Here is a 26343-nt window from a genome sequence, read left to right on the forward strand (position 1 = left end):
TTCAGTTTTGCAAGATGAAAAAGTTTTGGAGACCCATGCACAGCAATGTGATTAGACTTAACTCTACTGAACTCTTAACTCTGCTCCCCACCTTTTCTTTTTTTAATTTTTGTATTTTTTTGTAGAGACGAGGTTTCGGCATGTTGCACAGGCTCATCTCCATATCCTGAGCTCAAGAGATCCATTCACCATGGCCTCCCAAAGTGCTGAGATTACAGGCATGAGCCACCACAGCTGGCCTGAAATGTACTCTTGAAAATGGTTAAGATGGTAAATTTAATGTTTTGTGTTTTGCAAACTGTGTCATCCCAGTTTATGTTGCTTCAACTCTTGCCTCCTTTTCCTATATGTTTCTCTTCTGTTTTGTTCTCTCCTCCTTTTTTGTTACCCCCACTTTCCTCTGAACCTTGACATATTGCAAAGCCTTGCAAAATAAACAGTCCTGAGAGTTGCTGAAAAGGGACTGCACCAATAATACCAAGAAAAAGGCATTTAAACCACAGCAACAAGTCTCCAATTGATACGATGCCAGGTTTTGCAACAGCTGAAGACGAAGAAAAGTGTAATTTGTTTTTTGCTTTTGTTTTGTTTTGTTTTTTTAAAACAGAGTCTTGCTCTGTTGCACAGGCTGGAGTGCAATGGCCAGATCTTGGCTCACTGCAACCTCTGCCTCCAAGGTTCAAGCGATTCTCCCACCTCAGCCTGCTAAGTAGCTGGGATTACAGGAGTGCAACAACACGCCTGGCTAGGTTTCATATTTTTAGTAGAGATGGGGTTTCGCCTGTTGGTCAGGTTGGTCTCCAACTCCTGACCTGAAGTGATCCACCCGCCTCAGCCTTTCAAAGTGCTGGGATTACCAGCGAAAACCACTGCGCCTGGCCAGAAAAGTGAAATTTGGGTGAGTCCTCAAAAACTTGTACCCCTCTCTTCTCCTCATCTTACAAAACTCAGATCCTGCTGTGCCACAGTGAATCAATTATCTGTGCACAGGGGCTGTCGGGTGAGGATCTGCTGAATAAAAGCCCTTAGCTCTATTCAAGTCACTTCTTTTCCTTCACCATGTGTTCAAGCAGAATTAATGAAGAGGTGTCCACCATGTTTACTAATATTTCTAAGTCTTTTACTTTTTGAGACAGGGTCTTGCTCTGTTGCTCAGGCTGGACAGTACGTGGTGCGATCATGGCTTGCTGCAGCCTTAACTTCCCGGGCTCAAGCGATCCTCCCACCTCAGCCTCCCAGGTAGCTGGGACTACAGGCATGCACCACCATGCCTGGCTATATTTATGTATTTTTATAGAGCTGGGGTCTTGCTATGTTGCCTAGGGTGTTCTCAAACTCCTAGGCACAAGTGATCCTCCCACCTCAGCCACCCGATTAGCTGGGACTACAGGCACATACCACCACACCCAGCTAATTATTTTTGTTGTTGTTGTAGAGACAGGGTCTTGCTATGTTGCGTAGGCTGGCTAAATTTGTAAACATTATCATACACAGTCATAAACATTTTTTATCTCAATGTTAATTTGTTAATTTTTTTCTTTTTTTTTTTGAGACATAGTCTCACTGTGTCACCCAAGCTGGAATGCAGTGGCGTGATCTTGGCTCACTGCAGCCTCCACCTCCCAGGCTCAAGCAATGTAATTTTTAAAACCCAAGTTATTGGCAGTGTCTCTACAGATCTCAATAAGGCCAGGAACGGTGGCTCACACCTGTAATCCCAGCACATTGGGAGGTAGATGTGGGCAGATCGCTTGAGTCCAGGAGTTCGAGACCAGCCTGGGCAACATGGCGAAATCTGTCTCTACTGAAAAAAAAAAAAAAAAAAAAATTACCTGTGCATGGTCGTGCAAGTCTGTCATCCCAGGTACTAGCGGGGCTGAGGCAAGAGGATGACTTGAGCCTGGGAGGTCAAGACTGCTGTGAGCCCTGACGGTGCCGCTGCACTCCAGCCTAAGCAACACGGTAAGACCCTGTCTCAAAAACAAGATTTCAATCAGATGTTGACAATGAGAGCAGCAGCTTATGCTTTCATGCTTAATTGTTCCCACAGACTGTGCTAAGAGCTTTATGTTTATTGTCTCGTTTTATCCTCAGAAAATTCCCATGAGCAGGTGGTATTGTAATCCCTATTTTATAGATAAGGAGAGAAGATGTGGGGCTTAGCATTCATTTGTTACAAAGATGTTTTTAAACTACTGGCTGCGTTTCCCTGAGGAGGTGTGAAGTCAATTTAGAACATAAAAATTGGCTTGTTCTTAAAAATAAGACCTTGGAGAAATGTCTGGCCCCAGCTGTGAGGGGAGAAAATCTATGATGGTTCTGGAGAATCTCATTTTGCCAGGAAGCAAGGAAGTGATCAAAGACTAATGGGGGCCAGGTGCTGTGGCTCACGCCTGGAATCCCAGCACTCTGGGAGGCCAGGGCAGGCAGATCACTTGAGGCCAGGAGTTCAAGACCAGCCTGGCCAATGTGGTGAAACTCCATCTCTACTAAAAATACAAAAATTAGCCAGGCATGGTGGCATGTGCCTATAATCCCAGCTACTTGGGAGGCTGAGGCAGGAGAATCTCTTGAACCTGGGAGGTGGAGGTTGTAGCGAGCCAAGATCGCACCACTGCACTCCAGCCTGGGTGACAGAGCGAGACTCTGTCTGAAACAAAAATAAATATAAATAAAAATTTAAAAATACTAATGGGATCAGTTCATAGTCTTAAGAATCCATCTAAAGAGAATTCCACTGGTAAATCTGGTACAATTTGAGCCAAACATGGTGGATCTTGCCTGTAGTCCCAGCCACCTGGGAGGCTGAGATGGCAGGATCACTTGAACCGAGGAGGTTGAGGCTACAGTGAGCTATATGATCATGCCACTGCACTCCAGCCTGGGCAACAGAGTAAGACCCTGTGTTATTTAAGGAAAAAAAAAAAGGAACAGTTTAAACATTAAAAAAATAATAAATTGGACTGCTTTTTACATATTGAACAATCAAAACAGTAGTGATATTCAGGAGAAGGAGTGTGCTAGGGAGGGAAGAGAAACAGAAAAGCTCTTTTGTGCAGCTGAGTGTTAGGCCATAAATGCTGCAATAATGACAGACTCACAGAGCATCAGCATTTAGCAACTATGCAATGGAATCCAGACAAGCATCCTCAAGGCATGCTAAAATCTCATGTAAAGTATATTCTTGCACAGTATATGTCACATACTAGGTATAGCTGGATTTGCACGAATGTGCTTCCAACAGATATTGTCTGTGCCAATAAAAACTTCATTTTGTTTCTTAGGATGATGGATAGAGCAGGGATAGAAGACATCAAGTTTGTAAACCTATGCAACTCATTTGATCTATTAAAAAAATGGGAGCCAGGCACAGTGGTTCATGCCTGTAATCCTCAGTACTTTGGGAAGCCAAAGCAGGAGGACTGCTTGAGGACAGGAGTTGGAGACCAGTCTGGTCCACATAGGGAGACTCCTATGAGAACATACCTCTAAAAAGTTTAAAAAATTAGCTGGGTGTGGTGGCACATGCCTGTAATCTCAGCTAATTGAGAGGCTGAGGTGGGAGGATCACTGAAGCCCTGGAGTTGGAGGCTGCAGGAAGCAGTGACTGGGCCACTGCACTCCAGCCTGGAAGACAGCGTGAGACTCCATGTCAAAAAAATAGAAATAAAATAAAAAATAAAATTATTTATTTTAAAATAAACACATTATTTATTTCAATTATTTTATTTTTCTATTATTACTATTATTTTTTAGATGGAGTCTCACTCTGTTGCCTAGGCTGGAGTGCAGTGGTATGATCTCAGCTCACTGCAACCTCCACCTCCTGGGTTCAAGTGATTCTCATACCTCAGCCTCTTGAGTAGCTGGGATGACAGGCATGCACCACCGTGCCTCATTAGTTTTTGTATTTTTGGTAGAGACAGGGTTTCACCAGGTTGGCCAGGCTGGTCCTGAACTCCTGACCTCAAGTGATCTGTCCGCCTTGGCCTCCCAAAGTACCAGGTACAGGCACGAGCCACTGTAATCGGCCAAAGATACATAAATAAGTAATTTTTAAAACAGTACTGTACACTAAAGAGCAGAGGTCTATGAAACCAGAAAGAAAAAGTGCTCTGCTTTTCCTAATTCAATGGTGGTTGGAAAGAAACCCCTTTCTTACTCAAACTACAGTTCCACCCAAAAACGCTTTAACACTAGGATCTGTTTCACACTTCCAAGTATCAGCCAAAGGTTTCGGCAAGATTTGACCAAGTGGCTTTGAGGAACAAAAATACTATAACTTATTCCTATGGATCTATAGGCATCAATCCACCCTGCCAATTCAACAGATCTAGAAATCCTTTCCTTCCCACATCATTTCCACTTGCCACAAGATAATAATCTCATAATATTTATTTATTTATTTTTAAATAATTTCAACTTTTATGTTAGGTCTAAGGGGTACACGTGCCGGTTTGTCACTGGGGTATATTCTATGGTAGTGAGGTATGGGGTATGCATGAACCCCCCACCCACGTACTCAGCACTGTACCTGTGAACCCTGAAAATCTGAGACAAGTCTCAGTTAGTTTAGAAAGTTTCTTTTGCCAAGGTTGAGGACACACACCCGCGACACGGCCTCGGGAGGTCCTGGCGACATGTGCCCAAGGTGGCCAGAGCACAGTTTGGTTTTATATATTCTAGAGAGACATGAGACGTCAATCAACATATACAAGTTGAACACTGGTTCAGTCTGGAAAGGCAGGACAAAAAAAGAAAAAAAGCAAAGGCGGGGAGACTCGAAGTGGGGAGGGGGGCTTCCGGGTCACAGATACATAAGAGAAAAATGGCTGCATTCTTTTGAGTTCCTGATGAGCCTTTCCAAATGAGGCAATCAGATATTCATCTATCTTAGTGAGCAGAGGGGGGACTTTGAATAGAATGGGAGGCAGAAGCCCTAAGCAGTTCCCAGATGGACTTTTCCTTTAGTGATTTGGGGGCCCCCGAATTTATTTTCCTTTCAACACCCAACAGGTGGTTTTTCAACCCTAGCTGTCTTCCTTCCCTCCCCCTTCTAGGAGTGCCCAGTGTCTGACATCCCCATCTTCATGTCCATGTGTACCCACTGGTTAGCTCCAACTTATGAGAACATGCTGTATTTGGTTTTCTCTTTCTTTATTAATTCACTTAACATAGTGGCCTCCAGCTGCATCCATGTTGCATTACTTCATTCCTTTTTATAGCTGTGAAGTATTCCTTGGTATAGATACACCACATTTTCTTTATCCAGTCCAATGCTGATGGGCGCCTGGGTTAATTCCTTGTCTTTGCTATTGTGAATAGTACTGCAGTGAACACACTAGTCCAGGTGTCTTTTTGGTAAAATGAATAATCTCATAACATTTCCAGATCAATGAAACATTTTTTAATTGCCTAAACATTTTTATTTATAAATTTTTTTTATTATACTTTAAGTTCTAGGGTACATGTGCACAATGTGCAGGTTTGATACATATATATACATGTACCATGTTGGTGTGCTGCACCCGTTTACTCATCATTTACATTAGGTATATCTCCTAAAGCTATCCCTCCCCCCTCTCCCCGCCCCACGACTGGCTCCAGTGTGTGATGTTCTCCACCCTGTGTCCAAGTGTTCTCATTGTTCAATTCCCACCTATGAGTGAGAACATGCAGTGTTTGGTTTTCTATCCCTGCAATAGTTTGCTCAGAGTCATGGTTTCCAGCTTCATCCATGTCCCTACAAAAGACAAGAATTCATCCTTTTTTATGGCTGCATAGTACTCCATGGTGTATATGTGCCACATTTTCTTAATCTAGTCTATCATTGATGGACATTTGGGTTGGTTCCAAGTCTTTGCTATTGTGAATAGTGCAACAATAAACATACGTGTGCATGTGTCTTCATAGCAGCATGATTTATAATCCTTTGGGTACACACCCAGTAATGGGATGGCTGGGTCAAATGGCATTTCTAGTTCTAGATCCTTCAGGAATCGCCACATTTTCTTCCACAATGGTTGAACTAGTTTATAGTCCCACCAACAGTGTAAAAGTGTTCCTATTTCTCCACATCCTCTACAGCACCTGTTGTTTCCTGACTTTTTAATGATTGCCATTCTAACTGGTGTGAGATGGTATCTCATTGTGGTTTTGATTTGCATTTCTCTAATGGCCAGTGATGACGAGCATTTTTTCATCTGTCTGTTGGATGCATAAATGTCTTCTTTTGAGAAGTGTCTGTTCACATCCTTCGCCAACTTTTTCATGGGATTCTTTGATTTTTTCTTGTAAATTTGTTTAAGTTCTTTGTAGATTCTGGATATTTGCCCTTTGTCAGATGGGTAGATTGTAAAAATTTTCTCCCATTCTGTAGGTTGCCTGTTCACTCTGACGGTAGTTTCCTTTGCTGTACAGAAGCTCTTTAGTTTAATTAGATCCCATTTGTCAGTTTTGGCTTTTGTTGCCATTGCTTTTGGTGTTTTAGACATGAAGTCCTTGCCCATGCCTATGTCCTGAATGGTACTTCCTAGGTTTTCTTCTCGAGTTGTTATGGTTTTAGGTCTAACATTTAAGTCTTTAATCTATCTTGAATTAATAGATTCAAGGTGATAGATATACAGATAGATAGATACATAGGTGGAGACAGATAGATGATAAATAGAAGATAGATAGATAGATAGATAGATAGATAGATAGATAGATAGATAGATAGAAAGTATAAGTAAAGAGATGATGGGTAAAAGAATTCCAAGCCAGGCATGGTGGATTATGCCTGTAATCCCAACATTTTGGGAGGCCGAGTTGGGTGGATCACTTGAGGTCAGGAGTTTGAGACTAGCCTGGCCAACATGGTGAAACCCCGTCTCCACTAAAAATACAAAAAAAAAAAAATTAGCAGGGTGTGGTGGTGATCACCTGTAATCCCAGCTACTTGAGAGAGTGAGGCAGGAGAATTGCTCGAACCCAGGAGGTTAAGATTGCAGTGAGCCAAGATGGCACCACTGTGCTCCAGCCTGGGTGACAGAGCAAGACTGTGTCTTAAAAACAAAAAAAAACAAAAACACATATATTATAAATATAGAGGTAAACATTTAAAACATAGAGAAATCTTAGAAGAAAGTAGATGAAAGTTTCTCAGCACTGCTGCTGTCTGGGACTGGGGGGTTCCATGTGGTCGGGTGTCCTGTGTACTGCAGGGTGTTGGGCAGCATCCCTGAGCTCCACCCACCAGATGCTAGCAGGAGGTGGCAGTTGTGACAACTAAAAATATCTCCACATATTGATGCAGGTGGATGTTTCGTTTATCTAGAAGCTGGAAATGCTGTTGTAAATTAAACAAGTTGGAAGAGGACACCAGAACTGCTGTGTGTCAGAGATAGTATGTGTGAAAGTAAAAGATAAAACAAACGGAGGGCCACATTGACAATATTATAATGGAGAGGTTCTTATTGTCCCTCACATACAAAGAACTCTTAAAACACTTGAGGGGTTTGCAGGGGCTCGTCTCTAGCACACCAGAAGCAAAGATAGACAAATACAAAAATATCTTTGCTTTCTTAGGGTAAGCTCTATTTATTTCTTTACTACAGGGCTAGAGTTGCCTTATTAACATCCTGTATTTGAGGGCTTTCTCAATCCAAATATAAACACAATCAAATGTGTAAATCAAGTTTGGGTTTCAAGATTATAACAGTTTCTTAAAATAAGTGAACACATTCATCTTTTGCTAGGCTCTGTGACACTTTATGCAGCAGGGAAATTAATTCATCATAAGCAATTTACCAGAACTTCCCTTAAAATTGCCCAAACCAGGGCCTTTCTACAAGATAAGCCTTTGGTAACATTTTCAGTTTTTCTCATAGTTATTGTCAAATAGAAGGTTTCTATTTCTTCTGATGACAACAACCAACATCTCACTGATTTCCCTAGAAGGATCAAGCGCTTCTTCAATACTTCCAGTGTTATTACTATAAGGGGTTCTATATAGTATTCGCTTTTAAAACTGCCTCCAAATGACTTCTTTCCAATTTCTATTTTGTACATTTATGTTTTCTCAAATGAAAGATTCATTTTTATTTGTTATTTTTATTTTTAGAGAGAGGAGCTCACTCTGTTGCCCAGTCTAGAGCGCAGTGGTACGATCATGGCTCACTACAGCCTCGAACCTCTGGGCTCAAGCAATCCTCCCACCTCAGCCTCCTGAGTAGCTGGGACTACAGGTGCGCACCACCACATCTGGCTCTTTTTATTTTTTGTAGAGATAGGGTCTTGCTATATCACCCAAACTGTCTTGTCAAACTCCTGGCCTCAAGCAATCCTCCCACCTTGGCCCCCCTGAAGATGCGTTAATCAAATGCCTGAATTTGTTTCTTGTTCCCAATTATTAGTTGTGTTGTTTTATCTTTATGAATTTTTTTACTGCTGTTTGCTTTACTTTTTTTTATTTTAAAAATATTTGGAGCTGGGCATGGTGACTCACACCTGTAATCCCAGCACTTTGGGAGGCCAAGGCGGGCAGATCACTTGAGGTCAGGAGTTGGAGATCAGCCTGTCCAATATGGTGAAACCCTGTCTCTACTAAAAATACAAAAATTAGCCAGGCATGACGTTGGGTGCCTGTAATCCCAGCTACGCAGGACGCTGAGGCAGGAGAATCACTGGAACCTGGGAGGTGGAGGTTGCACTAAGCCAAGATCCCACCCCTGCACTCCAGCCTTGATGACAGAGTGAGACTTTGTCTCAAAAAATATATATATATATTTGAACGTATATATTTATATATATATTTAAACATATATGAACATACATGAACGTATACATAAACATATATATGTATATATAAAAATATGTATATATTTGAACTGGATGATTTCTTCACTGATTTAAATTTTCTTTCTTGTACCACTTTAGTTGCTGTCTTTGCTTTGTATAGGTAGCACTCACATTGGAATCATTTTCTGAAATAGTACGTAATTCAAGCTTTCATTTATACCCAGATCAAGTTATTTAGGAGAGCACTTCTAGTTTAAAATGTCTGAGGACACACTGGTTGGTTTTTTATTTGTTCTCTTTTTAGTTTAGCTATTAATGTCTGGATTTATTATTTCGTTGTCAAAGAATATGACATTCAATTCCTGCTACATCTACATATTAAATGCCTCCTCGTCCCATTCATATAAAATCACTTTTTCTAAGTGGTCCATGGTTGATGAAAGAAAAAGATTATTGCTTACATAATGTATGACATTTAAGAGAAGCCTTATGCTTTATTCATTAGATGCATTTATTTATGTATTTGCTTTATTTGAGAATTAAAGACAAAGGGAATTGTAAAAGGAAATTATTTTTAAAAAGACTCCTTGGCAGGGCGCCGTGGCTCATGCCTGTAATCCCAGCACTTTGGGAGGCCAACCTGGGTGGACTGAGTGAGTCCAGGAGTTCAAGATCAGCCTAGGCAATGTGACGAAACCCTGTCTCTACCAAAAATACAAAAAATAAAAATAAAAATAGCCAAGCATGCGGGCACATACTTGTGGTCCCAGCTGCTTAGAAGGCTGAGGAGGGAAGATCACTTGGGCCAGTGAGGGAGAGGTTGCAGTGAGCCGAGATGGTATCACTGCACTCAAGCCTGGGCGACGAGTGAGACCCTGTCTCAAAAAACAAAAAAAAAGAATTGAATTTTCAGTTTCCGTGGTTGGGAGAATGAACTGTAACCATACCCAGTATTGTTTTTTAAAGTATTGTGAAGCCGATCACACGCCTATATTTTCACATGATTCGAAGGTTCATTACAAATGTAAGATGCCCATCATGATTGCCAGCCATCCAGGCCGGTGAAGAACGGTGGTCAGTCATCAGAATAACTCCTAGGACCTCTTGGGGGAGAGGTGACCCTCCTTCTATAGGACCCATCTGGGCACAAGCCACATCTCTGAGCCTTACCTGAGCAGGCTGGACACCTGAGGAGTGATCAACACCACCAGCTTCCTCGTCAGCCTGTGTCTCCTCAGTGACTGCCCCAGGACCAGGGCGCCCTGGCAGTAGATGTCATCTGTGGCCAGTGTGACAAAAGCCTGATCAGTCACTGTGAAAATCAACAGAAACACCAGAGTTACACTCCTGAGGGACAGCAGGGGTGACAAGGCCATAGTCACCTCCTCTCCTCTCCCAAGATTCATGGCTTGGGCCAGATGTGGTGGCTCACACCTGTCATCCCAGCACTTTGGGAGGCTGAGGTGGGTGAATTGCTTGACCTAAGAAGTTCGAGACTAGCCTGGGCCACATGGTGAAACTCTGTCTCTATGAAAAATACAAAAATTAGCTGGGCATGGTGGCATACCTGTAGTTACAGCTACTTGGGAGGCTGAGGTAGGAGGATACTTGAGCCTGGGAGTTTGAGGCTGCAGTGAGCTGTGATTGTACCACTCTACTCCAGCCTGGGTGACAGAGTGAGACCCTGTCTCAAAAAAGAAAAAAAAAAATCACGACTTGCAGTGAATATTCAGTATTCTAATTCACAAACATTCTTCCTTTCATTCTAAACAAAACAAAACACAGGAGGAGAATGAAGGAACCTTAAACATGAGACAAAGTCAACCCAATGGCTATGCCCGTTTCCTGATGCTGCAATGCCATGGAAACTCATAGCTACTATCCCTTATTTTATGTTGTGTTTGACTCTTGAAAACTCACCCAAAGTGTTTAGATCTTAGGTGGAAACAAAAGGCAAAAAGTGGAAGTGATGACTTGATGACCTGAGTTACAGCAAAGATGTAATCCAACTCAAAGAACTGTGTTCTGGGCTAGATGCAGTGGCTCATGCCTGTAATCCCAGTGCTAGGGCTGAAGAAGGGGGACTAATTGAGCCCAGGAGTTTGAAACCAGCCTGGGAAGCACAGCAAGACCTCATCTCTACTGGAAAAAAAAAAATTAGCCAGGCAAGGTGGTGCACACCTATAGTCCTAGCTACTTGGGAGGCTGAGGGAGGAGGATTGCTTGAGCACAGGAGGTCAAGGCTGCAAAGAGCCATGATCACACCACTGAACTCCAGCCTGGTCAACAGAGTGAGTCCCTGTCTTCAGAAAAAGAAAAAAGAAAGAAAAGAAAAGAATCATGCTCCACAAAGAAGCAGCCAAACATGTTATTTAAATTCTGGACAGACCATTTCTTACAAAGACTTCAACTTCAACTCAGGGTTGTATGAGGTGGTACAGTCAACATAAGGAGAAGTGTATTGTTTCATTAGGTAGAATGTGCTCAGTTTCCTAATGCCTCAATAGGAGAGGAAGGAACTCTCACATTAGATATAATTAATGGCTTTTAAGTCTCTGTGCATAAGACTGATGTGAACTTTGGTAATGACTTTTAAACCACTCAATTCTTGGGCACCCAAGCCCCTGTTGCCAGGAGAAAGACAACAGTCAGGAGGGCAGCCAGCAACACCAACAAGTCCCACACAGTGTGCAGCCCAGTGTACTGTCTATGGAAATTAAAATGCTCAGCATGCAGGCAACCATGGCACCTTCCCCAGAAGCAGCACTCCAAGAGAAGCCAAACCACAATTCGCACTAAATATAACAAACACAAGTGTCCCAGACGTGTGGCCCAGGGCTGCCTCCTTGACCTTTACATTGCAATGGGGTAAATTCCAAAATGCGCCTGTTACAGCTGCTCCTGTAGATTCCTCTCCCTACCCTTGCAGGAAGGAAGAACAAGAATTCCTGACATCTCCACTGGGAGTGAGTATCATAGACAGCAAACTTTACAACTTAATTCTGTAGAATAAAAGATATCTGTCATCAGTCCATATCTATCCATCTATCCATCATCCATCCATCCACCCATCCGTTCATCTATCATCTATCTATCCGTCTATCATCTATCATTGGATAATATCTGTATTATCCATCTACCTATTATCTATCCATCCATTCATCCATCCATCTACCTATCATCTACCAATTCTCTGCACATCTATTACTTTCTATCTTACTATTATCTATCTCTATCCATCCATCCAGCTATCCATCTATCTCTCATTTATCCATCCTTCCATTATCTATCATTTATCCATCCATCATCTATCTATCCATTTATTCATGCATCCATCCATCCATCATCTACCAATTCTCTGTACATCTATTTATTATCTATCTTACTATAAATCTGTCTTTATCATCTATCAATCAATCATATATCTATCCATCCATCATCTATCTATCCATCTACCTATCATCTATCCATCCTTCCATCTATCCACCTATCATCTACCAATTCTATTCACATCTATTATTTATTATCTATCTTACTATCATGTATCTGTATATCTATCTAATCCATCTATCTCTATCATCTATTTATCATATATCATCTATGTAAATTTATCATCTATGTATCTATGATCTATCATCCATCTATCTCCATCATCTCTCCACCTATAATTTTCTATTATCCATTTATCTATCTCCATCTGTCATCTACCTATCATATATGTGTCCTCTCTGTATCTACTTCTTTATATCTATCAATCTTTCAAACATCTACCTACCTACAGTCTATAGATTATAAATTGTCTCTAGCACCATTATCTATAATCTATCTATAGTTTTCTTAATTACTAGCTTTAAAATGATAATAATGGTGATTATTACTCCTTTAGACATTTCCCAAGGCCTAAGCTCTGACCAAAAGTATTTCCCAAGAAAGGCATAGCTGTCATGGACCCGTTCAGCCATCTGTAAGGCTCTTTTGTCTCTAAGCAGAGGAGAGAGATGGGAGAGGAAGCAGACATTCAGGACTGGCATCCGCAAAGCCCAAAGCTGGCCAAGGTACTGTGTGAGCTTCACCCACAGACCTCGAAAATCACACAATGCCCAAAACAGAGCCAGAGATCCAATCCCCTACCCCGTCCTCACCAAGGTTTCTCTGACCCGTATCTTGAAAGATTGTGGAAACAGAAAGAATTACCAAGTAGAACCCCCAGTGTTGAACCCTAAGTGTGAACATATTTCTAAGCAGCATAATGGGTATCCCCACACCTAAACATACGACCTGCTAAGAGCTTCACCTTTCCATGCAAACTCTCAAAAAATTAACGGGAAATTAACATAACGTAAAACAAACCATTTTAAAGTGCACAAGTGACTCGCATTTAGTCCATGCGCAATGTTGTGCAACAACTAACTCCAGGCAATCCGAGGATATTCTCATCACTCCAAAAGGAGGCCCTGTACCCATTACGCAGTCACTCCCCATTCTGGCAACCATGAGTCTGCTTTCTGTCTCTACATTCCTATTTTGGATATTTCCTATAAATGGAATCAAACACTATGTAGTTTTTGAAAATGGAATAATTTTGTATTTCCTTTTTATTTATCACAGTAAACTTCAGATGACATAAAATTCACCATTGTAAAGAGCACAATTCATCACAATGTTGTACACCCACCACCTCTATCTAATCCTGGGACATTTCATCACCCCAAAAAGAGACCCTGCACTCATTAAGGAGTATCTTCCCTTTCTCCCTTCCCTAGCTTGTGACAACCACCAATCACTTTTTATCTCTGTGGATCTGCCTGTTCTGCATATTTCATGTAAATGGAATCAAGCATCATATGGCCTTTTGTGTCCGGCTTCTTTCCATCAGCATGATGTTTTCAAGGTCCATGCATTTTCATCAATTCAACCGTGTAATTAAAAGTGTAAACCAGGAATCTTCCAAGCAAAGATGGTGGATGCGGAGCTCCTAGTTTCTCTTTCCTTCCTTCTGAGATAAAAGGAGAACAAACTAAAAAGTGTGCTAAGGAAGGCAAGTGTGAACCCCAAGCCAACAAGGAGGCAGGAGAAAACTGTCAGCCAATAAGAGAAACTGGAGAAGTCACTGAAATTCTGCAGAATTCTCGAAGGCCAAATATACCCATCACGAGAGGCAAAATCAGATAATAGGACCTACTCTACAGGAAACCAAAAGCCCAAGAAAAAATAATTACCACCACACAGAAGTGGAATTCCTAACCTATAACATAACCTTGACAAATTCAGACAAGTCGGCAACCCTTGCAAGTAGGCACAGCTCAACTGACATTCCTCATTTTTATACATGTAGATATAAACCATTACAGGCATTTGAAAAACACCTTCAACACAAAAGAGAAAACTAAAAAGTTATGGGGTAGAATGGGAAGAACCCCATAAATACCAGAGAATTCATGGAATAGAAATTCAAGGAACAGACAGACAGACATAAAAATTCTGACTGCATTAATTAGTATTCTTTCAAAAGATTACAGGGAGAGGGATACATCTATAAACCAAGAATCAAATGCTATAGAAAAGATCACTCCAAGGATAAGAAATAGTTATTAGAAGTTAAAAATATGATTTGCTGAAATGAAAATGGAATAACAGAAGGTTTGGAAAATGTCAATGAGGAAATCTCGCAGAAAGTACAATTAAGGGACAAATGGAAAATTTCAGAAAGCTAGAAGCCTACAGGAGTGATTCAGAAGGTTCACCAACATAAGTTTCAGAGTAAGAGAACAGAAAAAAAAATAGAAGAAAAGTTTTCAAAGAAATTAAACAGGAAATGTTCTCAACAGCAGCAGAAAGTCAGTCTTCAGATTTTAAAAGCCCAGAGAGTATGCAGCAAAAGAAAAAGAAAAAAGAAAGAAAGAAAGAGAGAGGAAGGAAGGAAGGAAGGGAGGGAGGGAGGGAGGGGAGGGGAGGAGAGAGGAGGGGAGGGGAGATGGGGACAGAGAGACAGGGAAAGAAAGAAAGAAACTCAACAGTCCTTATCCTGACAATATGTTTCTGGAGTTTAAAAACACCAAGGATAAGGAGAACATCGTGATAATGCCAAGAAAATGAAAGTAAAATAAAAATACAGGTCAATCCTATTAAGGATGAGACTGAGACTTCTTATCATGAATAGTGGACACTAAAACAAAGCACCATATCTAAACTCTTTGAGTGCAATGGTCCTCAACCTAAAATTGTATACCCAGACCAAGTAGCTAAATTTCTAGGCCCAGGCCAATTAGCACATCTGCTGCACATTTATACGCCACATACCATTTCTCAGGCAGGTATTTGAGTATGTGTTTCACAGTAAGAATAGACTTGTATTCTTTTAATTTAAAAATACATTTTTTTGCACATGCCTGAAGTCCTAGCTAACTTGAAAAGCTGAGACAGCAGGATTGTTTGAGCCCAGAAATTGGAGGCTGCAGTGAGATATAATTGTGCCACTGCACTCCAGCTTGGGTGACAGAGCAGAGCCCTGTCTTTAAAGAGAAAGCGTGTGTGTGTGTGTGTGTGTGTGTCTGTGTAATTGCAAAGTAGATGGCAAAGTAAAAAATAAGATAAATCAAATAATATATGTTATGAGAAGAATCATCAGCAAAGTAATGTCAAACTGAAAACAAAGTGCCATTTACCATTTTTAGCCTTCCATTGGCAATATTAAGATTTCTTTGTGATCTCCAATGTATAGATTATTGAAATCTGAGGAACCATGTTTAAGGACCCTGTGAATTAAAGAATAGAAAGGAAAAGGAGTGCATCCTTTAGGAACTACAATGACAAAGGTAATAGAACTCCCGAGGAGGGGCGTTGTTTTGAGATTTCCTCCTGAGCTGACTGTTCTGTCCACCTTCGAGATGCTCAGAGGGATTGGCTCCCCTCTGAACTTCACCACTGAATCTGAGAATGAGGGCTAAATCACACTCCAAAGGCCATGCTTTGGGATTTTCCTCCAGAAACAGATGACTGAGGTTAGACCTTGCTATTTAGATGCTTGGTCCTGCAAGAGCAAGCTTTGCAGAATATTTAGCGTGCCAACTCCTATACCCTAGTAAGGAAGAGTCTACTGTTTCCAACCCCACTTACTGACCTGCGCTCTTAAGTAGCAGAGAAGAAGAACAGAGAATGTATAAAATGAAATTTGGCACCATCTGACCTGGGACATGGGCTCCACCGGGTAGATTCAGATCCCTGTTACCCACCTCCTAGGTCTCCCTGAGAGCCCTAGAAGCCTCGTCTGTGCAGAGCATTTATGACATGAATTCTGAGGTAAGGAGAAGTCCACTTGCCTCCAATCCCACATTCTACTCTTGCATAACTAACTGAGATCTTAACCGAGAGGCACAACAGAAAATGTTGGGGTTGTTCATTATGTTGTTGTGGTGGTGGTTTTTGAGAGAAGGTCTCCCTCTGTTGCCTAGGCTGGAGTGCAGTGGTATGACTTCAGCTCACTGCAGCCTCAACTTCCTGGAAGCAAGCAATCCTCCTACCTCAGCCTCCTGAGTAGCTGGGACCACGAGTGCACATCACTACGTCCAGCTATTTTATATTTTTTGTAGAGACAGATTATGTTGCCCAGGCTGGTCTTGAACTCCTGGGCTCAGGCAATCTGCCTGCCTCATGCTCCCAAAATGCTGGGACTACAGGTGTGCCTCTGTGCCTGGCCTTTTTATTCTTTTTTGACAGGGTCTTTCTCTGTCTATCACCCAGATTTGAGTGCAGCAGCAGCATCACAGCTCACTGAAGCCTGGAACTCCTGGGCTCAAGCAATCCTCCTGCCTCGGTCTCCTGAGTAGCTGGGACTACAGATGCTCACCACCACACCTGGTTAATTTATTTTTAATTTTTCTGTAGAGATGGGGTCTCTTGCTCTGTCACCCAGACTGGTCTCAAACTCCTAGCCTCAAGCAGTCCTCCCGTCCTGGCCTCCCAAAGTGCTAGGATTACAGGTGTGAGCCAGCCACCGCACCAGACTAGAAAACATTTAAAATGGGTCTCTGATCAATCACCCTGAGCCACACTTCTCTCCTTTGCATTCTCTGCTCCACCCTGTAGATTCTGGTTCCTGTTATCTGTTTCCTCAGTCCTTAAAAACCACATTTTCTCCCCCAACACAGAGTGAAAGCCATCAGCTGCCCTGAAAGCCAACCCAACACCAAGGGTTTTCTCATTGTCTGCAAATGTAAGCTGGGTTCAGGATGCTGGTCATCTCATCCCCCACACTAAGTCCCCACGTCCAGCTCCACCCCTCTGGGTCCTCAAGCACATCCTATGATGTGTGCTACTACCATGGGGCTACTACCACTCCCTTAACTCACCTGGAACTCACTCTCCTCCCAGCACATGGTGGCCATGGAAAAAACCACCCATCCCTCAGAGATCTTCCTGCAAACCCTGCTCCCCAAGACGACCCTTCTCATCACAGTCCCTCACCTCCTATGACACAGGACCCTTCATCTCTTGTGCCATCTTACCTGCTATGCTCATTTTGCTTACTGGTGGGCTCATTGCTGACTCCTTTCCCTAGCAAACCCATGAATGAGCTTCCTGGGGCTGCTGTGAGAAAGTACCACACGCTGGGAGACTTAAACAACACACATTTACTCTCTTGCAGTTCTGAAGGCCAGGATTCCAAAACCAAACTCTAGAGAAGGGTCCTTCCTGCCTCTTCCAGCTCCTGGTGGCTCCAGATGTCCCTGGGCTTGTGGCCACATTACTCCAATCTCTGCCTCCAACTCCACATGGCCTCCTCTGTGTCTGTGTCTCTTCTTCTATCTCTTGGGACAACACCTGCCATTGGATTTAGGGCCCACCCAAATATTCCAGGATAATCTTATCTTGAGATGCTTAACTAATTACATCTGCAAAGACCCTATTTCCCAATAAGGTCTGTAAATCTAAACTAAAATTCTAGGCCTCGCAACTACCTAATTGGCCAAGGGCATTCCAAAGTTAACCTGAAAAACGAGTTCAGGCCATAATGAGGAGAGGGTCAGACATGCCTCATCATACCCTCCTCCATTTTGGAATTCAGGAAAAGCTGACCACCATAAACATCCACACAGACCTCAAGTCTGATGAGAAACCTTTACAATCTATTCTCTCTGAAGCCTGCTACCTGGAAGCTTCATCTGCGTGATAAAACCTTGGTCTCTACAAACTCTTATCATAACCCAGACATTCTCTTCTATTGAAAATAACTCTTTCGACTAATCAGAACATTTAAAAATCTACCTATGACCTGGCACCACCCCCCGCAACCCCCTTGCTTCAAGTAGTCTCACCCTTTCAGATCAAAGCATTGTGTATCTTACATGTATTCATTGATGTCTCATGTCTCCCTGAAATGTGTAAAAGCAAGCTGTACCCCAACCACCTTTGGCCCATGTTGTCAGGACCTCCTGAGGCTGTGTCACAGGCATGTCCTTAACCTTGGCAAAATAAACTTTCTAAATTGATTGAGACCTGTCTCAGATACTTTTGGGTTCACAGGTCCCATTCACAGCTTCTGGGGAGATGTGAGTTTTATGGGGGGCACTGCTTACCCCAGTCAACAGTGCTGTCCCATAAGCTGCCCACACAATGGCACCTGCTTAGAGAAAGAGTGAAGGTTTGAAGCTGGAAGCAGAAGACAAAGAAGGTGAAGGGGCAGAAGATGTCTGTGTGGGCCTAATGACATGCTGTCAGTGCATTACACGTTCACTGTGGGTTCACGTCCCAGGCAATTCCCAGGCACGAGAATCTGCTACGTGCTGGGCCCAGCAGCTAACAAGGTACAAGCTCTGTCCTCAGACACCCACAACTCCATGAGAAACATCAGCCCTAAGAAATGGGTGTTTCAATACTGCAAGGCAAGTCCTATGGCAGGCAGCAGTTTTTGAAAGGGCACCATCCAAGCTCAGGGATAAATGGCCAGGAAGAACTTATCCATCAAGAAATCAGTGGATCAATAAACAAGAATGAATATGGCTCCCATCCATCCAGGAGTGTCTAGATGGGGCATACCTATGCACTATCATTAATTCCCTTTCCAACACAGACATGTGCTTCAAAAACAAGTAAACTGGGGCTTCAATGAGTAACTAAATGTCTGAGGTCACCTCTGACTCCAACACCAACAAAAGCCCTCAAAATAGCTACTCTCTCCTGCCTCCAATAAGAAACTAAACTAAAAATAATAAGGCAAAGAAGGAAGAGGCAGAAAAAGTCCATGAACCAAGATCAGAGGTGGAGATGATAGGTTGCATGCTGCATCCTGCATTCCTCACAGTGTAGCAACAGCAGCTGGAGAATAAGGACCCACAGGAAGAGATGGGGTCAGAGGGCCAGGATTACGAAGGTGATATGCAGCCTTTTCTATTATCCTGAGGCTTATGAGGAGCTATTTCAGGGTTCTAAGACCTGTAAGAAGGTCTCATCTCCATTGCCAGGGAGGGCCCTCTGGCTGTCTAAAGAAAAGGAGGATGCAAGTGAATTGGCCCAAAGCAAGGTGCAGAGGACAACACAGAGAAATGGCAAAGTGATCAGTGATTGATCGCCACCTGTGCTAGTTTTATAGTTCTTCATGAGGGCATCACTGACGACTAAGAGAAATGGCAAAGTGATCAGTGACTGATAACCACAGACACTGGTTTTTTACCCCTTCATGAGGATCTCAGTGACAACTGAAAGAAATGACAGAGTGATCAATGATTGATAACCATGTGCATGGCCTTTTTATCTCTTCATCAGGACGTGAGTGACAACTATGCGAACTGGCAAAGTGATCAATGATTGATAGCGAGGTGCGCTGGTTTTTTTAATCTCTTCATGAGGATCTCAGTGACAACTAAGAGAAATGGCAGAGTGATCATTGATTGATAACCACATGCTCTGGCTTTATAGCTCTTCATGGGGACCTCAGGGAAAACATGAGGATTAATGGGTGTTATAGACGGATGATAACCCATCCTGAAACGCCTAGGATGAAACCCTACCCCACAGAACCTCTGAATGTGTCTGCATTTGAAGATGGGGTCTTTAAAGAGGTGATTATGGTAAAATGAGGTCACTAGGGTGGGCCCTAATACAGTAGCACTGCTGGCCTCACTACAAGAGGAGATGAGGACACAGACACACACAGAGGGATGACCTTGTGGAGATACAGAGAAAGACCACAAGACCACATCTACAAGCCAAGGAGAGAGGCGTCAGGAGGAAACAGCCCTGCCCACACCCTGATCTCAGACTTCCAGCCTCCAGGGCTGTGTGAGAGTAAATGTCTGTTGTTCAAGCTTCCCAGTCTGTGGGACTTTGTTATGGCAGCCCCAGCAGAAAAAAACAGTAGTATTCAAATACATGAGTTATCCTATTATGGGCTGAATTGCACACCTCCAAAATTCATATATGAATGTCATAACCTCCAGGACCTCAAAATGTGAGTGTATTTGGAGATGGGGTCTTTAAAGAAGATATCAAGGTAAAATTAGGTCACTAGGATGGTCTGATCCAATAGGATTGGTGTCCTTATAAGAAGAGGAGATTACGCTGAGCATGATGGCTAACACCTGTAATCCCAACACTTTGGAAGGCCGAGGCAGGTGGACCACTTGACGTCAGGAGTTTGAGACCAGCCTAACCAACATGGAGAAACCCTGTCTCTACTAAAAATACAAAAATTAGCTGGGCATGGTGGTGCATGCCTGTAATCCCAGCTGCTCAGGAGGCTGAGGAGGAGAATTGCTTGAACCCAGGAGGCAGATTGCACCATTGCCTGGGTGACAAGAGCAAAACTCCATCTCAAAAAAAAAAAAAAAGAGGAGCTTAGGACACAGACACACACAGAGGGATGACCCTGTGAGGACCAAGCCCAGGAGAGAGGCCTCAGGAGGAACCAGCCCTGCCCACACTTACCTTGATCTCAAACCCAAAAGAGAATGCAGACAGGGCTGCATTTAGAGTGAGAGTTTTATGGAACTACTGGACACCCTGTTTCTCTCTTTGGTTTAGAGTTGGGGGAATACTGACCACAGTCACACAATGACAAGACAACACCAGTTGGCACAAGAGCTCTCCAGCAACAAGGTATCCGAGACTCAGACTTCTGCTTTGGAACAAAAATGTGCACCTCCTGAAGGTTAGCCACTTCCCATCCAGGACACTGTAAAACCCATCTAAAGTGCAAAGACAGACCAGCGGATTGAAATAGAACAGATCATGAAACATTGATTGATAGGTGCTTAGCTTCCACATCACCTTGCCCTGAAGAAACAACTGGTGATCAAGTCGTGGTGCGGCGCCACAGAACATCCACAATTATCCAATGCTGCTGCATTCAAAGAGGGAGTTTCCACTTCATGTGCCAGTGCGGCAGACTTTCAGCAAAGGCACGGAGTGGAAAAACAGCAAAAGAACTTGTCACTACACTACAGCCCACAAAAAGGAGACACTGTCACAAAATCAAGTCCAGCCTGGAGATTGCAGTGGCTTAGAATTTTATGACTCTGTGACAACAGTTTCTTTCTACCCCTTGCCTGCCCCCCTGCACTCAAGGAATCTTCTGATCACCCCTCAGAATATCCTTAGCATCTTCCTTCTCAGCCCTTCTCTACTCAAAGGCAGTTTCTGTTTTCTGCAAAGAGTTGAGTCTTCTCTTCTGGCATGAGGCTGACCAAGATGTATGCAAATGTCTGTCTTGAATGCTGTTATTATACAGACACAAGCAGGCTTGGGGAAACCTGTAGCTTTCACTTTAGAGAGCTCCAAACGCGTCCCTAGAACAGAGAATCTTTTCTGCTATTCCTGGGAATAGAGTCTTCCAGTACACCTCATGAAAACAGCCCTTAAGATCCCTGCCCCGAAAATTTTCCTCTCTAAGTCCAGAGTGAGAGAAAACAAGAGAGAAGCAGCTCTGTGATTTACCAAATCTCTCCTCTGAATTAAGAAGTCATCTGTTCTGTTTGTGTGTTTTAAATTGCATTCATGGCCAGGCGTGCTAGCTTGCCCCTATAATCCCAGAACTTTGAGACGCCAAAGGAGGAAGACTGCTTGAGCCTAGAAGTTCAAGACCAGCCTGGGCAACATAGCAAGACTCTGTCTCTACAAAATTTAAAAAATATACAATTAAGGGCCAGGCACAGTGGCTCACGCCTGTAATCCCAGCACTTTGGGAGGCCGATGCAGGCAGATCACAAGGTCAGGAGTTCGAGACCAGCCCAGCCAATATGGTAAAACCCTGTCTCTACTGAAAATACAAAAATTAGCTACTACAGGCACGCGCATCTGTAGTCCCAGCTACTCGGGAAGCTGAGGCAGAAGACTCACTTGAACCCGGAAGGCAGAGGCTGCGGTGAGCTGAGAATGCAACACTGAACTGGAGCCTGGGCAACAAAGTGAGACTCTCTAGGGAAAAAAAATATATATATATATACACATACATATATATACACACACACACACACACGTGTGTATATATATATGTGTGTGTACATATATGTATGTATTATATATTTATATATGTGTATATATGTATATGTATATTTATATGTGTGTATATATGTGTTTATATATATTTATATGTGTGTATATATGTGTGTGTATGTGTATATATGTATATATGCACATTTAAAAATAAATACATAAAATGCACTCATGAATGATCCAGTGTGGTCTAGTACAAAAAGGAGGTGTCTTAATGATTTAATGATAAAAAATAGAGCCAGCATCTTTCTTGTGGGATGAGGTTACAATCTATGTTCACATATCTAGGCCTCTTAAGTCAACCGGTATATCTGAAGTCCACAAAACCCAAGGACAGGGAGATGGGGCTCACCGGTCCTTGCGGGGCAGGCCTTTTCTGCCATTCCTGCCATTCCTGCCAGCCAGCCCTCTGCCTGCAGGAGGATTAACCTGAATTGTTATTTTTTTTAATTTCAATTTTTTTAGAGACAAGGTCTCACTCTGTCACTCAGGCTGGAGTGCAGTGGTGCAATCATAGCTCACTGCCACCTTGAACTCCTGGGCTCAGGACCCTCCTACCTCAGCTTCCCTAGTAGCTGGGACTACAGGCACGTGCCGCAATGCCCAGCTGATTTTTAAATTATTTTCCTACAGATATGGTCTCCCTATGTTGCCCAGGATGGTCTCAAAGTCCTGGCCTCAAGCAGTCCTCCCGTCTCAGCTTCCCAAAGGGCTGGGATTACAGGCCTGAGCCACCAAGCCCGGCCATCCCTTTATCTGTACTGGAAACAGAAATTAAACCCACGATCTGAACTTTAAGAACTCAAGGCAGCGTCTTCCCAGAGCTTTAGTTAGGGCCGTTTCAGAACAGACTTCTTCCCATGGGCCTTCCAGGCAGTGACAGGCTCAGACACTGCTATTGGGAATAGCCAATGCTATTCCGAAGAAACAAGCCCATTGAGTTTCAGGACTATATTTTACAAAAGGAAACTGGTGAGAACCCAAGGTCCCCTTCACTTGCTGTAAATCACCCCCTCCCAGCAGCTGAGGCTGGTATCTCCATTCCCTCCAGCCCCAGAGAGACCTGGGCGAGGGAGTGAGGGGGAGACTTGGGGTTTGGGGCAATCCTGCGGTCAAAGTGGGGTTCTCCCCAGTGCAGACCAATCTCTCACCCATGCCAGTAGGAACAGGCAGGCTGAACTGAAGGAGCTTGAGCTACTCACCCGACATGGTCCGTGGCGCCGCACGCAGTGGGCGCGGACCCGCAGACCTGCGCCCAGGCGCAGTGGGTGGAAATAAATCCTCGTCACGAACCCGCAGAACAGAGGCGCCGTCTTTGGGAAGCCGCGTGGATTTCCAGGCCTGGGGGCGACAGCGTGGCTGCCTCGACACCCTCGGCTGCAGGCCTCGCCGGTGTCACCCCCGGCCTCCTACTCACTCCATGTCACCTGCGCCCCATGGGGCCCCGGCCTCCCCCGACGCCCCTGAGACCCCCACGCCCCGCAATTCCTCCTCGGCGCTCTAGGTCAGCCTCGTGCCCTCTGGCCAGGGGCCCCTTGACCCCCTGTCCTCCCCACAGTCACCTGCGACCCCGCTGATTCTTAATACCCATGCGCCCAGCAACGACACCGCACGCGGAACACCGCCCGACCTCAGCGGTGTCAGCAGCTGCCCCGTCGCCCAGCGCACTTGCTTGGAGTACTGGTACATCCTCTTCCCCCAACCCAGCTGCCCCCCGACCCGGTCACCCCTCTCCACTCCCTGGCCCACCCCTGCGCTCCCGGACCCCAGTATCTGCACCTCCTCCGAGCTTGAGCTGCCTCTGCCCGTGTCCCCAGGCCAGGCGCCCCCTCCCCCGTCACTCCAGTGCCGCCCCACCCCAGCCCACTCCTGCGCCTCTCGCCGCCCCTCCTCCCCGTCCCGGCCTTCTGCCCATCCTCTCCAAGCGCCCCCGAATCCCCTCCACGCCCTGCACCTCTCCCTCCCCGCGCGCTCCCGCAGCCTCTGCCTTGGGCCTGCGCCTCCCTCCCCAAGCCTCTCAGCTCTACGTCCCCGCCCCCGTCTGTCCTCCATACTGAGGCAGCCTCCGTCTCCCCGTGCCCACTGCGCCTGGACCACCTGTACTCCTCAGCACTCGGCGCCTCGGCTCGGCCCACCCACCCGCAAGCGCCGCTAGCCTATCCCTGCGCCCCGCACCCCTCCCCGCCTTTGCTTTTGGGCAACCTCTCTCTGACCTCCAGCTCCCAGCGCCTCTCGCCCCACCTCTGCACTCCAAGGCCGGCGCCCCTCCCCCAGCCCCCAGCCTCTGCCTCTGGGTTCCGCCCGCGCCCCGCTGTACGCCACCCACCCTCGAGACCTCCTAGGCGTTCGGGCAGCCTCAGCGCCCCCCGGCCCCCAGCCGCGCCCAGGCCTCCTCCACTGCATACGATCCCCTGCACCCCGCTGCAGCCCCCGCACCTCTTCCGGCGCCCTGGCTGCCTCTGCCCAAAGCCGGCGCTGGGGGCCCGGAGGGCAGCGATTGGCCTCTGTCCTGAAGCCCGGCCCCGCCTCCGCCCAGCCCTGGTAGGCGCGGGTCAGCTCCTCAGCCCTGCAGCCCCTGCCCGCAAGCCCGCGCGCCTCCTGGTGTCCAGCCCCAGCTACCAAGGAGAGAGACCCAGGAACCGCCAGTGGCTGCGCTCCACGCCGGCGCCCAGCCCCTCGCCCACCGCGGCCCCCTTGGCAGTTGGCGGTTTCTAGGTTTGGACATTTAACCTTTAATTGGCCGGCCCCAAAGTAAATGTTTGCGATGACTTAAGGCCCTGGGCCCAAGGCCAGCGCGCAGCCCGAGTGGAGGCCGCTCTGGAAGCCTCCCAGAGGAGAAAGCAGAGCTCATACACTATCTTGTTGAATGCATGAAAAATACACGTGCGCAAACTTGCACGCATGAATGAATGAATGAATGCACGAAAGAGAGAAAAAATGAGTGTTCAGGCCTCAGCTGTTGAATACATAGCGAGTGAGTGGCTATACGCACGCGGTGAGTGCATGTATGAGTGACTGCATGTATGCGTGAATGCATGTGAGGCGAGAATGAACAAACAACAATTCGTGAATGAGATAGCGAGGAAATGAATGAACCAGTGACTCAACATTTGCGCCAAGGAGGGAATGAATGCATGAGTTGAAGGCATGAATGGGCCAATGCATGTATGAAGGAATTTAGAGATACATGCATGAATGGAGGAGTGACTGTGTGGAAAAAATAGGTGAATGCATGCATGCATGAATGAAGGCATGAATCTATGAATGAGGGAATGAATGAGTTGAATGCATGAATGATTGAATGAACAAGTGAATTCATACATGCATAGTGCATGAATTAGTGAAAGGTGAATTCATGTATGCATGAGTAAACAAATAAATTAATGCCTGCATGAATGAGTGCATGAATGAGTGAACAACTGAATTCATGAGTGATTGAGTGCATGAATGACTTAAGTGAATTCATGCTTGTGTAAGTGCATGTATGAGTAAGTGAACAGGTGAATTCATGTATGCATGAGTGCATGTATGAGTGAGTGAGCAAGTGAATTCATGTATGCTTGAGTGCATGAATGAGTGAACAAGTGAGTTCATGCCAGCATGAGTGAGTGTATGAACGAGTAACTAAGCGAATTCGTATATGCATGAGTGAGCACGTGAATGACTGAGTGAACAAGTGAATTCATGCCTGCATGAGTGAGTGAGTGAATTCATCCATGCAGGATTGAACGAGCAGGTAAAGTCATGCATTTATACAGGAATGAATGTGTGTGTGTGAGTGAATGAACAGAATACATGACAAGTGAATATGTGGATGAATGAATGAGTGAATAAATATGTATGAGTACATGAATAAGCTGAACAAACTAGCATGTGTGTTAATGCACACACACGAGTGAATGAGTGAAGACTGCATACATTTCATGAATTCATGTATTATGTATAAGTGAATGAATGAATTGAATGCATGAACAAGTTAATGGATGCATGAATGAATTAAGTGAAAGTGTGAATGCATGCATGCGTGAGTGAATTGAATGAATCAATGAATGTGTGAATGCAAGCATGTATGAATAC

General features: G+C 44.6%; 1 pseudogene across 1 annotated transcript; it reads right to left on the bottom strand.

Moving 5' to 3' along the window:
• Window positions 1–9268: 9268 nt before the first annotated feature.
• On the bottom strand, window positions 9269–24743 carry GYG2P1 (glycogenin 2 pseudogene 1; annotated as a pseudogene). The gene is made up of 5 exons (NR_033667.1): window positions 24703–24743; window positions 23469–23607; window positions 10346–10462; window positions 9949–10090; window positions 9269–9653 (listed from the first exon to the last, which is right to left on the bottom strand). The product of NR_033667.1 is annotated as a glycogenin 2 pseudogene 1 (transcript).
• Window positions 24744–26343: the final 1600 nt, after the last annotated feature.

This window comes from Homo sapiens, chromosome Y, assembly GCF_000001405.40.
Source record: "Homo sapiens chromosome Y, GRCh38.p14 Primary Assembly".
Taxonomy (NCBI): Eukaryota; Metazoa; Chordata; class Mammalia; order Primates; family Hominidae; genus Homo; species Homo sapiens.